We start from the raw sequence: 17,162 nt of genomic DNA on the forward strand, positions 1-17,162 counted from the left end.
TAGGGAAGTCTAATTTGATTATAGTAATTCTTGACAGAATTATAAAGTATTTCATATGGTCATAAATGATGTTCTGAATTAATTAATTTTTATTTATTTTTATTATTTTTAATTTATTTTTTATTAATTAATTAATTTTAGTTTTTTCTGAGATGGGAGTCTTGCTCTGTCACCCAGGAGTGCAGTGGTGCTATGTCGGCTCCCTGCAACCTCTGCCTCCTGGGTTCAAGTGATTCTCCTGCCTCAGCATCCCAAGTAGCTGGCATTACAGGTGTGTGCCACCACGCCCGGTTGGTTTTTTTGTATTTTTATTAGAGACGGGGTTTCACCATATTGGCCAGGCTGGTCTCGAACTCCTGGTCACTGCCTTCCAAAGTGCTTGGATTACAGGTGTGAGCCACCGCGCCTGACCAAAAAACATTAATTGTGAGGGTCTTTATTCAAGTTCAATTACTTTATTTAGAAACCTTATTTTTGTTTCTTTCTTTTTCAGGAATCCCACTGTAAGATGGGGTTATGTCGCTATGAAGTTTGCACAGGTAAGTTTTTGTAACTGCCTAAGGTATGTTGATTAGGGGATGGGGATTCATATTTATGATAATAATATAATCTAGTTAAATCTAATTGGGAGCTAAGAATGCTTTCTGTTGACATTATGCAGTCTTTTAAACTATTTCCAGTACGGTAAATGGTGTTTGTTTTGCCAACATCAAAAGTAATTTTCTTTAATAAAAGAATATATTAGGCTGGGCGCAGTGGCTTGCGCCTGTAATCCCAGCACTTTGGGAGGCCTAGGTGGGCAGATCGCGAGGTCAGGAGTTCAAGACCAGCCTGGCCAACATGGTGAAACCCCATCTCTACTAAAAATACAAAAATTAGCCTGGCGTGGAGGCACGTACCTGTAATCTCAGCTACTCAGGAGGCTGAGGCAGGAGAATTGCTTGAACCTGGGATATGGAGGTTACAGTGAGCTGAGATCACTCCTCTGCACTCCAGCCTGGGCGACAGAGCAAGACTCCATCTAAAAAAAAAAAGAATGTATTATTTATAAAGTAATTCTAATTGGTTATTTCAGTAAGCATTAATTTCCCCCTTCCTTCCTGTTTTTGGGGGAGGTATATATGTATGTGGGTATAGTCTGACTCTTACCCATTCCTCCTCCCACCTCCATCAGAATCATTAATCCTGGAAGATCCCATTTTAAATTAGTGTCTCAATCAAATGCCCATTTATGAAGTAAGTTCTTTCATTAAGGGGTTTTTTTTTTTTTTTTTTTTTTTTTTTTTTTTTTTTTTTGAGAAGGAGTCCTGCTCTGTTACCGATGCTGGAGTGCAGTGATGCAGTCTTGGCTCACTGCAACCTCTACCTCCTGTGTTCAAACGATTCTCCTGCATCAGCCTCCTGAGTAGCTGGGATTACAGGTGCCCACCACTGCGCCTGGCTAATTTTTGTATTTTTAGTACAGATGGGGTTTCACCATGTTGGCCAGGCTGGTCTCGAACTCTGACCTCAAGTCATCCACCCGCCTCAGCCTCCCAAAGTGCTGGGATTACAAGCGTGAGCCACTGTGCCCGGCCATGTTACGGGTTTTAAGCAGCAGGAAAACAGGTTCCAAGAGTAAGCTCTTCTAAAAATATCATTTGGTAAAGGGTTAGGAAAAGTGATGGTAGAAACTAGGCTTGAGTAATCTCCCTGAAGGATTATAGCAGTCTTCTATACTAGTGTTAAATGGAATACATATGCGAACATTACTGTAAGGGTCACATCTGTACTTTCTTTTGGAGAGAAAAAAATCGCCTTCCATCTTATTAAGCCATCGTTATTATAATTCTGTCTCTGTTATGTTCCAGGTCTTTGGTTGCTTTTTCTATGTGTACTACATCTTTGAAAGGCTTTGTGCCCCCTTGTTTCGGAATATCAAACAGGAGCCCTTCAGCGCTCGTGTTCTGGTCCTATGTGTATTTAACTCCATCTTGCCAGGTAACATGGGTACTTGTTAATTTGGTCATGCATAAATTCACGAGGTAAATAGAAAGCTATTGCCTATGAGCACCTTTGCTTTGCCTACTTTTTCATCTAAACTTCTATACATCTATGCCCATCTTGACCTCTTTTGCATCTACTTTATAAATGAAGTATCCTTCATCCAGTCTCAGGTCAGTCTTTCATCTTATGGCTTTCACTCAAGTTGTGCCTTTCTCTGACAGTGGACAGTCCACATTCATGCTGTGTCTTCCTGTTCGCTATTAAGTTCATTGTAATCTTGCTCCTGATTCCACCAAGCCACTTAAATGCCCCTTGTTGAAATTACTAGTAACTTGTAGAAATTACTTGTAGAAATTACTAGTAATCCATATTCTAATCCAGTGGATGGATTAAGATGTACTTTACCCCTTATCCAAGTTGACCTCCATGAAGCATTGGGTGCTGCTGACCACATTTTTAAATCTCTCTTGTCACTGTTTTCTTGCCTTTTTTTTTTTTGAAATCGGGTCTCTCTTTGTCACCCAGTCTGAATGCAGTGGTGTCATCATGGCTTACTAGCCTCGACCTCTGGGGCTCGAGTGATCCTCTCGCCTCAGTAGCTGGGACTACAGGTGCATGCCACCATGCCTGGCTAAGTTTTTATTTTTTGGAGAGACGGGGTCTCCCTATGTTGCCCAGGCCATTCTCAAACTCCTGGGCTCAAGTTATCCTCCTGTCTCAGCCTCTCAAAGTGCTGGGGTTACAGGCTTGAGCCACCATGCTTGGCCTTTTGCCACTATTTCTTATTTTCCTCCTGTCTTTCCGACCATACCTTGATTTCTTAAATATATTTATTGCATTTTTTTGTCTATTATAGAGATATATGAGTACCTAGTACTATGCCAGGTGCAGAGGACTCAGAAGTGAACAAGAGATGTATTATCTTTACAGTCTGGGAGCTTTTATAGTTTCCCTTACTTTTCCTCTTTTCTTTACTCATTGAATGTTGGTAATGTTTTCTGTCATCACCTTCCCTTTCTTTTCTTCTCTTGCATTCCTCTTCCAGTAACCCTCCCTCACCAGCCCCAGGACTTATTTGAATGAACTCTGTATCTGTCCCTAAAATAGAATATGTGTTACATACTTGAGTGTCTTCCTCACTAGCTGCAAAGTTATTGAGTTCAAGGATTGTGTTTTATAGCCAATCACAGTCTCTCTCATATTGTCTGGTACATAGTTGATGCTCTATAAATATATATTTTTCAATAAATGAGTGAAAGAGATGGACATATAAATGGATATTTTACAATATATTGTAATATGTACTACATAAGTAGGATAAACAAAATGCTTATGGCCTTTGTTTCACATTAGAGATAACATTTAATATTGGGTATTGAAAAATAGGTAGGTATTTGCCTGGCAGAGAATTGGTGGAAAGGTCATTCTAGGTAGTGGGATGGATGCAAGGGCATGGAGCATTCTGGAATGGCATAAACCCAGTTGTGGATAATGTTTACAACACTTAGAGGGTAGAATCACTGGAGATATGTTTAGAATGTTATCCATGTCACTATGTTAACCATGTCACTATTAACATTTTGGACTGGTTAATTCTTTGTTTGGAGTGGCATTCTTCTGCATTGTAGCATAAACTGTTCAGCAGCATCCTGGCCTCTAACAACTAGATACCAGTGGCACCACTCCCTCTCCTCCAATTGTCACAGCACTGGTGCAGTAGCTTGCACCGGTAGTCCCAGCTATTCTGGAGGCTGAGGTGGGAGGATCACTTGAGCCCCAGGAGTTGAAGTTCAGCCTGGGCAACATAGTGAAACCCTGTCTTTTAAAAACAAAAAGTCTCTAGAATTTCAAATGTCCTGTGGGGGAGAGGGGGCAAAATCTCTCCCAGTTTTAAACAATTGTTTAAGAGGGGGGTATGGGGGCCAGATTTTTAAAGGACCTTGGGTACTAAGTTAAGCCATATATTTAGGCATTTCTTAAAAACAGACTGGGTAGGCTGGGCGCGATGGCTCACGCCTGTAATCCTAGCACTTCGGGAGGCTGAGGTGGGCAGATCACAAGGTCAGGAGATTGAGACCTGCCTGGCCAACATGGTGAAACCCGGTCTCTACTAAAAATACAAAAAATTAGCCAGATGTGGTGGTACATGCCTGTAGTTCCAGCTACTTGGGAGGCTGAGGCAGGAGAATTGCTTGAACCCTGGAGGCAGAGGTTGCAGTGAGCCGAGATCGCGCCACTGCACTCCAGCCTGGGTGACAGAGCAGGACTCTGTCTCAAAAAAGAAAAAAAAAAACCAGACTGGGTAATGTCATTTGTTGAACCCACTTTGAAGGAAGTTACTGTTTTAAAATTAAGATAATTAACTCCAAAAGTATATCATCTCTGGAATGGGTAAACTGGAATAATAACTTATATTTTACAAAATAATCCCAGCTAAATAAAATGATGTGATATAATTAGTTGCTTGGTATGTGAGCTATTTGGAAAGACTGTTAATATTGTTAATCTTATTTTTAGGTGTGCTGATTCTCTTCCTTACTTTTTTTGCCTTTTTGCACTGCTGGCTCAATGCCTTTGCTGAGATGTTACGCTTTGGTGACAGGATGTTCTATAAGGTAGTATATACTTAGACTTAGCTTTCTTTTTACATTTTATTAACTTCTTCATTATTAGTATTTTGACATTGTTGGCTAATGTCACCAGCCTTTCACACAAACATTGTGAAATAATTTTCTTTTCTACAAGTTTTGCCAGTATTTTCTGAAATTCGGTTACAGATATAACTAGCATAACCTTGTGTTTTCTTCTGTCTCTAATATCTGCTCCCTTAACATAAGCACATGGTTTCTGCTGGATCCTGCAAGGATATATTGGTGATTCCAGTAGGAAACTGTTTGTTCAGAGCACACCATGAGACTTCCCTGAGTGTTCATTCATTTGAAATGGACCGTCTAGTTCTGTAGGAATGACCTCAGCAAATTATTCCATTTAAGACAATTGAGCAGTTCATGAGGGAAATAACTTTTCCCTCTTTAGTTTTGAAAGGTGTTAATTTTGCTTCAGATAGTATCCTTATGCTTCTAAAGTTGGAATTAAGCTATAGAATTAGAGTCAGAATGGCTCATAGCATTCTTTAACCCTACCTAAAGCTCTCTTTGAGTTGTTTTTGGCAACACTCCAAGTCTACCACCTTTTTTCTCAAAGAAACTTTAAGTGTGGATTGCAGATTTTAGATACCTGATTTCATTCATCTGATCTTAATATTGGGAGCAAGAAGCATATATAGGGATACCAGGACTTTGAGGTAGCCACCATCTCACCCTGGATAATTTTGCCATTTATGGTAACCACCAAACAGCTCTCTAGTGTTAGCACTCTCTCTGGTCTTCATGACCATAGAATTTTCTCATGACATTCTAGTAGGGTAAGGGGGGTGGGGCTTACTGATTGCTGTTTAGATGAACATTAGATTTAAATGATTCTATGTGTTCCGTATGAACCTAGGAACTAAATCATATATAGTATGAGAATTCATGTCATATTCAACACTAATAACCAAAATGCCTTTGAAGATTTTTCTGTCACCAGTGTATGAACCAACAGTTTATCACAGTATAATTTGATTTTTCTGTTACATATGTTCTTTGGGAAGTCAGGGGGGTTTGCTTTCGGGTGGGATGTGTGTGTGTGTGTGTGTGTGTGTGTGTGTGTGTGTGTGTGTGTGTGTGTGTGTAGTTTTATACCTTTACTTTTTCCCTCAGGATTGGTGGAACTCCACGTCATACTCCAACTATTATAGAACCTGGAATGTGGTGGTCCATGACTGGCTATATTACTATGCTTACAAGGACTTTCTCTGGGTAAGTAGCAAGGTTTAAGTTGATATTATTTATGAAATGGAGATTCTTTTTCAGAAAGTATGAGTATTATACAGCTGGAAGAAGTTATATTTAATTGCTCATGAGGAAAGGGTGATAGTATCTTTTCAGTTTTCTTTTGAGAAATTTACATCTAGAAACCTGCTTTGAATGGTACTGCTTAGAAACCACTGTGTGTACACTAGTAGGTCTAATACTGTGTCTTTTGCTCTGAATTTTATCTTACATAACAAAGTAAGAATGCATGGAGGTTGTTGGAGTTGAAATGATCCACCAATAATGGATAGTTTCTTATGAGTCTTGTTGCCAACAAATAATCTCCCTTTGGTCTTTTTCATTCGTTTTTCATGGTTAAAGGTAGAGAAACACTTTTTTTTTTTTTTTTTGAGAGAGTTTCGCTCTTGTTGCCCAGGCTGGAGTGCAGTGGCATGTTGTCGGCTCACTGCAACCTCCTCCTCCCGGGTTCAAGCGATTCTCCTGCCTCAGCCTCCCAAGTAGCTGGGATTACAGGCATGCACCACCACGCCCAGCTAATTTTCTATTTTTAGTAGAGATGGTGTTTCTCCATGTTGGTCAGGCTCATCTTGAACTCCCGACCTTAGGTGATCCGCCCGCCTCAGCCTCCCAAAGTGCTGGGATTACAAGCATGAGCCACCGTGCCCGGGTGAGAAACACTTTTCTGTGAGAAACACTTTTGTGTGGATTTTGTATCTCTCCAATCAGTGACACCTGGCTTTGAGACATTCTTTAGAGCAGAATATACTTAGACTGATGAGATGTAATCTTGAATCTCCTGGTTGATAAACAGGTATCTAGATTACAGTTTTTATTAAGTGAGGGCACCATTTGGCTTAGTGACAGCATCTTATGGTGGAAATAGCATTGTATTAATATTTGAGTGCTAATTCTGTCATTCAAGTGTAGTTTCACATACGGATAAGGCAAGTCCCTTTTCTCCTTCTGAAATCTTAGTTTTGTTATGTGTAAAAATGGAGAGGACAGTTGCCCCATCTACCATACAGTGTTACTCTAAAGACTGAAATTCAATATGTTTCATTTATATAGGAAAACTATGTTTTGTCAGTTGTAATAACTTACAAACATAAGTTATTGATATTTTTGAAAATAGACTCAGATATTTGAACAATAATAAGAGTTTGTAAGTGTATATGATTTGTAGTTATTTTAATAGACTTGGATTAATCCAAGGAGTAGACTTAGAAAATTAAGTACAAATACAATAGGTGCCTTTGGCATATAATTTTACATCCTATATAATCCATGCTTGCTTTAAATTTTTAAAAATTACTTTGTAGTGTTTTCCTTTTTCTTTAGTTTTTCTCCAAGAGATTCAAATCTGCTGCCATGTTAGCTGTCTTTGCTGTATCTGCTGTAGTACACGAATATGCCTTGGCTGTTTGCTTGAGCTTTTTCTATCCCGTGCTCTTCGTGCTCTTCATGTTCTTTGGAAGTAAGTATCTTGGTATGCTGTGAGTACTGGGTACTATGCTAAAAAAGAAAACCAGATAGAAAGGAAACTATAAAATCAATGTAGGAGAACTAGATAGTAGTAGTAACATTTTAAGGTAGTACTTCTTTATCAGATGGTCAGAATATTGACTTTGAATAATTATACACAGCTCTGTCTCAAGATATTTACACTTTGAAGTAGGGAAATGAACTAGGTAACCTCATGAAGACCATTGATAACACTGATTTGATAGGTCATAAAAGTTATCTATATAAACAGCTTTCCCATTCGTAAACATTGTCGGTATGCACCCCCTAGAAAACTGACAAGTTTTTGAGTGAGTAGAGAGGGAAAAGTTGGAATATGAATATTCTAATTCCATGAAATATATATACACATGTTCTGAAAACACTGATTTCTTGTAAGTTACTGATTTTAACACTGAAGCTTTATTTTTCTTTATAGAAACAGTGACCAGAATAAAAAAATATATAAACAGTTGTTGCTCACTGTGATTATTAAATAACAGCAGATACCTGAGGTCCCTCATCTTCTGATAAATTATGTTTTGATACCTGTATATTTCTTTCTTTTTTTTTTTTTTTTTTTTTTTTTTTTTTTTTTTTTTTGAGACAGAGTTTCACTCCTGTGACCCAGGCTGGAGAGCAGTGGTATGATCTCAGCTCACTGCAACCTCTGCCTCCCTGCTTCAAGTGATTCTCCTGCCTCAGCCTCCCGAGTGGCTGGGATTACAGGCACACACCACCACGCCTGGCTAATTTTTGTATTTTTAATAGAGATGGGGTTTCACCATGTTGGCCAGGCTGGTCTCGAACTTCTGACCTCTGATAACTGTATATTTCTTTGTTGCCTTCCTATTTTTAGTGGCTTTCAACTTCATTGTCAATGATAGTCGGAAAAAGCCGATTTGGAATGTTCTGATGTGGACTTCTCTTTTCTTGGGCAATGGAGTCTTACTCTGCTTTTATTCTCAAGAATGGTATGCACGTCAGCACTGTCCTCTGAAAAATGTGAGTCACCAACCTGGTTGGAGTGCAAAAGAACCTGTTTATTCTCTGTTTGTGAGAGTTGGTGGGCAATGTTGAGGAGCACAGTAGTGGAGATTATGATGAATTAGTGTTAAAGAGAGGGAAATGAGGAGTAAAAGCATTAGTTTATCATCTGATCTTATTGTACTTGAAGTTTTTCCTTTTGTTTAGTTTTCTTCACATTTAACTCTCCTAGCTTTTGGTTTTCTTCTTTTACTGCCTTTTCTTCAGCCCCTTCTAATTTTTTTTTTTTTTTTGAGACAGAGTCTCACTCTGTCGCCCAGGCTGGAGTGCAGTGGTGCAATCTCAGCTCACTGCAACCTCTGCCTCCCGGATTCAAGTGATTCTCCTTCCTCAGCCTCCCGAGTAGCTGGGATTGCAGGAGCATGCCACCATGCCCGCTAAATTTTTGTATTTTTAGTAGAGATGGGGTTTCACCATGTTAGCCAGGATGGTCTTGATCTCCTGACCTCATGATCCGCCCACCTCGGCCTCCCAGAGTGCTGGAGCCACCGTGCTCAGCCAGCCCCTTCTAAGTATTCTCCAGGGTTTTCCTAATGCCATGTATGTCCCTACTACCACCACCTAAAACATACCTTTTTTTTTTTTTAAACCTCTTTCTTCTAAATAAACTCTTGTAAAAATATTGGGCAACACTGAGATCCTTCCATTTCTCTTGATTCTATTTTTGTTTTTGGTAATTCAGGTTTCATTTATTCTTAGGACTTTAGTTTTTAGCTATACATGGGTACAGATTTTAGGAGGATGGCTTTTTTTTTTTTTAAGAATTTTATTTTCAAGTAACACAGTATAGGACATAGGAATTTCCCAGCAAACACTCTGGTTAATTTAATTGATGTGATCTGGTTAATTAGATCTACTAGCACTAGCTGAAAGTACTGCTTATAGTTATGGATAGAATTTCATGATGGAAACACCCTAAGAAGTAGGATTGCCAGGCTTTTTGTGCATATAGGGCGTGTCCTATATTTAACATTTTTGTCCTGCCTCCTGTATTGGGTTTCTTAGAACACCCCAAATGTCCTATATTCTGCTTTTTTCAGTAAATTACAAAAAATATGGCAGATAGAGCTATTTGTCTCAAGTTCATCTCGGCATCCTGTACTTGTATTTGCTAAATTTGGTGGCCCTACTAATAATTCATTCAATCCCTACAACCTTCCAGGTTTGGAGGGGATACCTTCTTGATTTATTTCCTGGGTATTTCTCATAGGCATCTGTAACTGAAGATGTCCATAATGAAATTAATCAGTTTCCTCTCCAAAGCTTCCCCTCTTTCTGTGTACCCTATGTCTGTTAGGCTGCCTCAACTCTCCCTCTTTATTTCATATTAATCTCCTTTGTTCATCTGAAGTAATTGCTCTTGACTGTCCCTGGTCACCTGGATTCCACATGTCAGATTTTATTCTCCTATCAAAATCCAGTTTGGATGCCACATCTTCCATGATGATTTTTCAAATGCTTGCTTCCCTCTCTTTCCTATTTCTGAACTTTTGTAGTGCTTCATTTGCTCCTCCTTTGATAGTTCAGTAATTTTAAACCTTGTATTAGTCATTTTTATATATATGTCATTTATGTATATATTAGTCATTTATATATGTGTATATATAATATATATTTATATTTATATATTTATTTATATATTATATATTAACTAATATATACTAATATTTAGTACCTTAAAATCTAAATGGTGGTTATATATAAATATATATATATATATCTATTTGTCGTCCTTAACCACCATTTAGATTTTAAGGTACTAAAAGTAGGGCTGTGCTAAAATAAAGATACAGAAAGAAATAGTGCCTATTTAGAAACTGGTCAAAGTCCACACAATTGTGTATAGTTTACTGGACTTTAAAAGCTTTATGTGAAGCACCTAATTGAATAAATCTGTGTTATAGATAAAAGTACTGAACATCTTTTGAATTAGTGAGCTGCTTATACCTTGAGGGTTGTTGAAATGGTGGGAGGCATTTTAGAGATGTACAATGTATCATATTAACATCCCTGCCTATCTCCACACCTCCTCTACTCTGTACACAAATTATTTTTCCATTCTTATTTTTCCCCACTGCAGCCCACATTTTTGGATTATGTCCGGCCACGTTCCTGGACTTGTCGTTACGTGTTTTAGAAGCTTGGACTTTGTTTCCTCCTTGTCACTGAAGATTGGGTAGCTCCCTGATTTGGAGCCAGCTGTTTCCAGTTGTTACTGAAGTTATCTGTGTTATTTGGACCACTCCAGGCTTTACAGATGACTCACTCCATTCCTAGGTCACTTGAAGCCAAACTGTTGGAAGTTCACTGGAGTCTTGTACACTTAAGCAGAGCAGAACTTTTTTTGTGGGGCTGGGTGGGGGGAGAAGACCGACTAACAGCTGAAGTAATGACAGATTGTTGCTGGGTCATATCAGCTTTATCCCTTGGTAATTATATCTGTTTTGTTTCTTGACTCTGTCCAATCAGAGAATAAACATCATAGTTTCTTGGCCACTGAATTAGCCAAAACACTTAGGAAGAAATCACTTAAATACCTCTGGCTTAGAAATTTTTTCATGCACACTGTTGGAATGTATGCTAATTGAACATGCAATTGGGGAAGAAAAAATGTAGAATGATTTTTGCTATTTCTAGTAGAAAGAAAATGTCTGTTTTCCAAAGATAATGTTATACATCCTATTTTGTAATTTTTTTGAAAAAAGTTCAATGTTCAGTTTTCCTTAGTTTTTACCTTGTTTTCTCTATAGGTCATGATTTCTGTGAAGCAAAAAGATGCCTTTTACCATGAATTCTTGAGTTTACATCAATAATATTGTATATTAAGGGGATCAGAAGTAGGAAGGAAAAAATAAGAGATAGCAGAGGAAAAAGAAAAACATTTCCTCTTATAACTTCTGAAGTAATTTGTAAAAAAGATTTGTAGAGTCAATCATGTGTTTAAATTATTTTATCACAAACTTAACATGGAAGATATTCCTTTTTAACTTTGTGGTAACTTCTTTGAAGTTATTTAGAAATATCCTTTGGAACAATTATTTTATTGTCTAATAAATATTGACTTCTCTTGAATTATTTTGCAGACTAGTGAGTCTGTACCATAAGTATTAATCACCTCCACTCATATTAAAGTGATCATTAAGAATCCAGAAGCTGGCTTCTGCATTTGCTCAGTTATACTTTTAATGGTAGTATGTTTTTAGGTGGAATAAATTAATATGTGATTGGTTTCAAGGAAATGTACTCTATTATGTAATACTTCCATTTTATAAGATGCCCATTTCTAATACAATGTGTGTAGGAATTATTTGTATGTATGAGGTATGATTGTAAAGATTGAGCATTGGAAGGGGTATCAGAGACCATGTAGTTCAACTTTCCACTCAAAGTAAGATTTATGAATTATTTAAATGATAGTTGTTACTTGGAACAGCCACTTGAGAGGCTCTCTTGGTATTGTTTGGAATTGTTTTAAAGTCAGTTTGAGTCTCACAAGAAGGTAAGTAGAGTTTCTTAATAGTCACAACTTAATTTGAACCACAAGTATCCAGCTTAATCACGTATCTTACTCACGATACCACTGGTCCAGATGAGTTTAGGTAATTTTCAAACATTAAATCCAACTTCAACGGAAACAAATACACTCAAGGGAAGTTATTTTTAAAAAGGTACTCTGCATGTTCCCGCAGTAATGTTCTGCACAACAGTATTGTAATTGTAATGGAATCATAACCTGCTAACTAGTTTGCTTTAATATGGCTTGTAATTCTTGACATTTTTCTTAAAATTAAAACGAATTTTTATTTTGAATTTATAACTGCATTTTAAATATATTGGGGACAGATTGCGCTGAGACCTGGTTATGAGCAAGCCAATCTTTTGAATCTAGAGAATGGAATTCTTAGGTTTATATTTCTGTTAAGAAATACTATAAATATGACTCTTATGAGAAGACTTTGTTGCTCTGTAGTGTTTCTGAATACTGTATTTGTTGGATTGATCAAGGCTATTTTTCAAAAAGCTCTCTGCTTCCTGTTTGTTTGTTTGTTTGTTTTTGAGACAGAGTCTTGCTCTGTCGCCGGGGCTGGAGTGCAATGGCGTGAACTCAGCTCACTGCAACCTCTGCCTCCCTGGTTCAAGCTATTCTCCTGCCTCAGCCTCCTGAGTAGCTGGGATTACAGGGCCACGCCTGGCTAATTTTTGTATTTTTAGTAGAGATGGGGTTTCACCCTGTTGGTCAGGCTGGTCTCAAACTCCTGACCTTGTGATCTGCCCACCTCAGCCTCCCAAAGTGCTGGGAAGACAGGCGTTAGCCACCGTGCCCGGCCTCTGTTTCCTGTTATTAGTGATTTTCCTGCCCAAGATTGCAACAACAAATATGTAGAACTACAGACTGTTTAGAATGCTGAGACTGTTCTAAGAAACTTTCAAAAACAGTAGCACTTCAAGGAATGGTCACTTTCTATGAAAGAAACTGGTTTGATAGCCATAATCTTATTGCTAGCTGCTTTTAGCAAAAGTCTTTTCTTGAAACCACCACCTATACTCTTTAAACAAATAAAAACTAAAATCTCTTGCTAATGTTTCAGGAAGATTTATTTTTTCTATTTTGCTATTGTGGCGAAAATTATTTTCAGTTATAGGATACTTTTTTCCTTCTGAAAAGTAATAAGCTTAAAGTTTTTGTTTCTGTAAGATGTAATGATAGTAACTATTATTTTGGGCATATTAACCAACAGAACAATTATGTAGTATGTATATCACTTTCTCATTAGATCTCTAACTTGACCTTCTAGTACCTTTATGTGTGAGGATAAATTTGTTAGATCCTTTTATTCTCAATCTTGGATAATGATGCAAAATGGAATTTTGTTTTGTTTGTTGGTAGATTCACATACTAAAACTTTGCAGGTAAAGTTGCTTGCCTCATGTTAGAATTTAATTAGAAAACTGAGGCTGCCTTTTTTTTTTTTTTTTTTTTTTTTTAAGACAGAGTCTTGTTCTGTCGCCCAGGCCAGTTTTTTTTTTCTTGTACAGATGGGGTTTTACCATGTTGCTCAGGCTGGTCTCAAACTCCTGGAGTCAAGGGATCTATTTGCCTCAGCCTCTCAAAGTGCTGGGATTACAGGTGTGAGCCACGGCTCCTGGCTCCTTGCTCCAGAATCAGTTTTTTAATGGAAGATAGCTCATACTTTGTTTTTGTTTTTAAAGAGACAGGGTCTCACTCTGTTGCCCAGGCTGGTAGTAGCGTGATCATAGCTCACTGCAGTCTCAAACTCCTGGACTCAAATAGTGCTCTGGAGTACCTAGAACTACAAGTGCCTACCACCACACCCAGCTAATTTATTTGTTTTTTTTTTTTTAGAGATGGGGGGGGTCTCCCTATGTTGCCCAGGCTGGTCTCAAACTCTTCACCTCAAGCAAAACTCCCACTGCAGAAAGCTTTGGGATTACAGGCATGAGCCACCATGCCAAGCCCATACTTATTGTTAATAAAGTTTCAGTGACTTGCTTACTAATCTTATGCAAAATTTCATGTAATTTATGTAATACTACATAACAATGCTACATATGGTATGTATACATACACTGTATACACACAAAGGTCTGTTCTGGGTATTTTATGTATCTTATCTCTAGGCTTTATGGCTCTGAAATGGAGGGAACTGGACATAAATGTTTCAAGGAATAAAGTGAATGTTTTGTTTGTTTGTTTGTTTTGAGACGGAGTCTCAGTCACCAGGCTGGAGTGCAGTGCTGTGATCTCAGCTCACTGCAACCTCTGCCTCCTGGGTTCAAGCGATTCTCCTGCCTCAGCCTCCCGAGTAGCTGGCATTACAGGTGCCTGCCACCATGTCCAGCTAATTTTTGTGTTTTTAGTAGAGATGGGGTTTCACCATGATGGTCAGGCTGGTCTCGAACTCCTGACCTCATGATCCGCCAGCCTCAGCCTCCCATAGTGCTGGGATTATAGGCATGAGCCATGCTCCCGGCCAAAGTGAATGTTTTGGGTGAAGTTTATATAAGGATTTGACTTTTGTATCATTATTAAAGTTTCTGTCAGGTAATACAGTGTTGGCCCTCTGTTGAAATAAAATGTTACATATCGCTGGGTGTAGTGGCTCATGCCTTTAATCCCAGTACTTTGGGAGGCCAAGGCAGGAGGATTGCTTGAGCTCAGAAGTTTGAGACCAGCCTGGGCAACATAGCAAAACCTTGTCACTATAAAAAATACAAAAATTAGCCAGGCGTGGTGGTGCACGCCTGTAGTCTCAGCTACTCAGTCGGCTGAGGTGGGAAGATGGCTTCAAGCCGGGAGATGGAGGCTTCAGTGACCTGTGACCTGTGATCACACCACTTAATTCCTCAAAACATTTATGTCCCAGTTCCCTCCATTTCAGAGCCATGGGCAACAGAGCGAGACCCTGTCTCAAAAAAAAAATTACATATAAGCCCGGTTTAAAGAGAGGATAATATGCAACCACCCTAGTTGAAACAGAGTGTATCACTTCTTTCTCACCCTAAATTTAATGCCTAGTTTGAAAATCAGTAGACAATAATAAAGTTGATAAGCTTTAGGTTGGTAGGAAAGCTATGTAATCTATATAGTGTACTAAATCCTTATATGTTTTTGGTAAAAAAAGACTTTAATAGCTAATTTGGACTTCAGAAAATGGGTTAATTTCACGAGTGCATATCACTTTTGACTATATTAGTCAAGCATATTATTAAAGTTTAAAAAACTCTAAAACTTCTGTACTGTTTTTTTCTTAAGTGCTCTCTTCCTTATTTCTACATTACTACATTCACATTTCTGCTGTCAATAAGCCCTAATGGAGTGATAAACTTTAAGCTAGTAGATACTGCACCATGTCTTGTGGTGGTGTTTTCTTAATGAAATGGAAGCTGTACTTCCTGTTTGTTTTTAAATACTTTTGAAACAGACAGTTCATGTACCCCATCATTTAGAGATGCAGTTTGAATTTCCATGGAAAAAGGTGCCAATTTTGGATTGGGAAAGGAGCTGAAGCCCCAGTCAAGACTTTGCCATTTGGGGTAATGCAGCAGATTCCTGTGTCTGTATCTTTCCAGTGTGTGTGTTAATCCATAGTGTTCTGAGCACCAGAAGGGTCATGTAAATCTGAAGTTGTTATTAAAGGTTTTTCTATAGTGAAAGATGTCTTTTCTGATTCATTCTTGTATGTTACTTTCCTGAATTGCTATTCCCTCTGCCCCCTGCAAGTCCTTGTCTGATCACTGGTACCAATACTTTGTTTAGTATGAGTTGTATTAGCATTAACTTAAAAATTTTTAGGCCGGGCGCAGTAGCTCACGCCTGTAATCCCAGCACTTTGGGAGGTTGAGGTGGGTGGATCACAAGGTCAGGAGTTCGAGACCAGCCTGGCCAATATGGTGAAACCTCGTCTTTACTAAAAATACAAAAAAATTAGCCAGGCATGGTGGCACATATCTGTAATCCCAGCTACTTGGGAGGCTGAGGCAGGAGAATTGCTTGAATCCGGGAGGCAGAGGTTGCATTGAGCCGAGATCGCGCCACTGCACTCCAGCCTGGGTAACAGAGCGAGATTCCATCTCAAAAAAAAATTTTTTTTTAACTTAAAAATATACAAAAAAGGCAAAATACTGCACATGTAAATGTGATAAATATATTTGGAAGAAACCTAGTCTATTTTTTATTTTTTTATGTCTTTGAGACAGTCTCATTCTGTTGCCTAGGCCAGAGTACAGTGGTGTGATCTCAGCTTACTGCAACCTCCCCCTCCTAGGTTCAAGTGATTCTCCTGCCTCAGCCTCCCCAGTAGCTGGGATTACAGGCACACATCACATGTCTGGCTAATTTTTGTATTTTTTAGTAGAGATGGAGTTTCGCCATATTGCCCAGGCTGGTCTTGAACTCCTGACCTCAGGTCATTCACCTGCCTCGGCCTCCCAAAGTGCTGGAATAGAGGCATGAGCCACTGCACCCGGCCAGAAACCAAGTCTCTTTTAAAAGTAACTTCAAGTGTATTTAGTATTAACTCTATGGTTCATGTTCATAAATGCTGTTCATCTTGATACCAGGCAACTTTATATGCTGAATATAGCCAAAAGAGAAGGCAAACAACTGACTAGGACTTTCTTGTCCAGTCTAATGAAGGGGAACTGTGTTAAAGGTTACAAATAAATTGTGGGGCCCAATTGTGACTTTGTATTTGCATCAAGAAATGCAGTGACAGTGACTCTTCTGCTGCCTCTCTCTCTTGAGGCCGTTATTTGTTGCTTAATTCCTTTTGCTCTTGGCCTTTTAAAACCTGTGAAGGGGCCTGGTGTGGTTTCTTACACCTGTAATCCCAGCACTTTGGGAGGCTGAGGCAGGTGGATCACTTGAGCTTGGGTGTTCCAGACCAGCCTGGCCAACATGATAAAACCCTGTCTCTATTAAAAATACAAAAATCAGCTGGGCTTGGTGGCGCACACCTGTAATCCCAGCTACTTGGGTGGCAGAGGCATGAGAATCGCTTGAATCTGGGAGGTGGAGGTTACAGTGAGCCAAGATCGTGCTTCTGCACTTCAGCCTGGGCGGCAGAGTGAGACTCCGTCTCAAAAACAAAACAAAAACCTGTGAAGGTATCTAAGAAAGCATTGCTCTACCTCTGATGGGTAGAAATGGACTTTAGGTTTTTAATGAAAGGTGAAAAGCGGTTGGCTAGGAGGTATGCCTCTTAAGACTAAGGGAAACCAGTTTTGGAGCAA

General features: G+C 38.8%; 1 protein-coding gene across 8 annotated transcripts in view; it reads left to right on the forward strand.

Moving 5' to 3' along the window:
• Nucleotides 1–15,584, forward strand: part of SOAT1 (sterol O-acyltransferase 1) — a 64,884-nt gene extending 49,300 nt beyond the window's left edge. For 7 of the 8 annotated variants that reach the window (NR_045530.2, XM_011509911.2, NM_003101.6 and 4 more), the window contains 7 exons: nucleotides 494–539; nucleotides 1,851–1,980; nucleotides 4,504–4,601; nucleotides 5,748–5,846; nucleotides 7,200–7,335; nucleotides 8,221–8,366; nucleotides 10,489–15,584. Coding sequence is in view for 7 of the 8 variants with exons in the window: in XM_011509911.2 (XP_011508213.1) it covers nucleotides 494–539; nucleotides 1,851–1,980; nucleotides 4,504–4,601; nucleotides 5,748–5,846; nucleotides 7,200–7,335; nucleotides 8,221–8,366; nucleotides 10,489–10,545 (712 nt within the window). In the remaining variant the exon portion in view is untranslated. Of the gene's footprint in view, nucleotides 1–493; nucleotides 540–1,850; nucleotides 1,981–4,503; nucleotides 4,602–5,747; nucleotides 5,847–7,199; nucleotides 7,336–8,220; nucleotides 8,367–10,488 lie in introns of those variants that run through there. The other variant, XM_011509912.2, reaches the window with a different exon arrangement.

The sequence above is a fragment of the Homo sapiens genome, chromosome 1 (assembly GCF_000001405.40).
Source record: "Homo sapiens chromosome 1, GRCh38.p14 Primary Assembly".
In the NCBI taxonomy this organism is placed as follows: domain Eukaryota; kingdom Metazoa; phylum Chordata; class Mammalia; order Primates; family Hominidae; genus Homo; species Homo sapiens.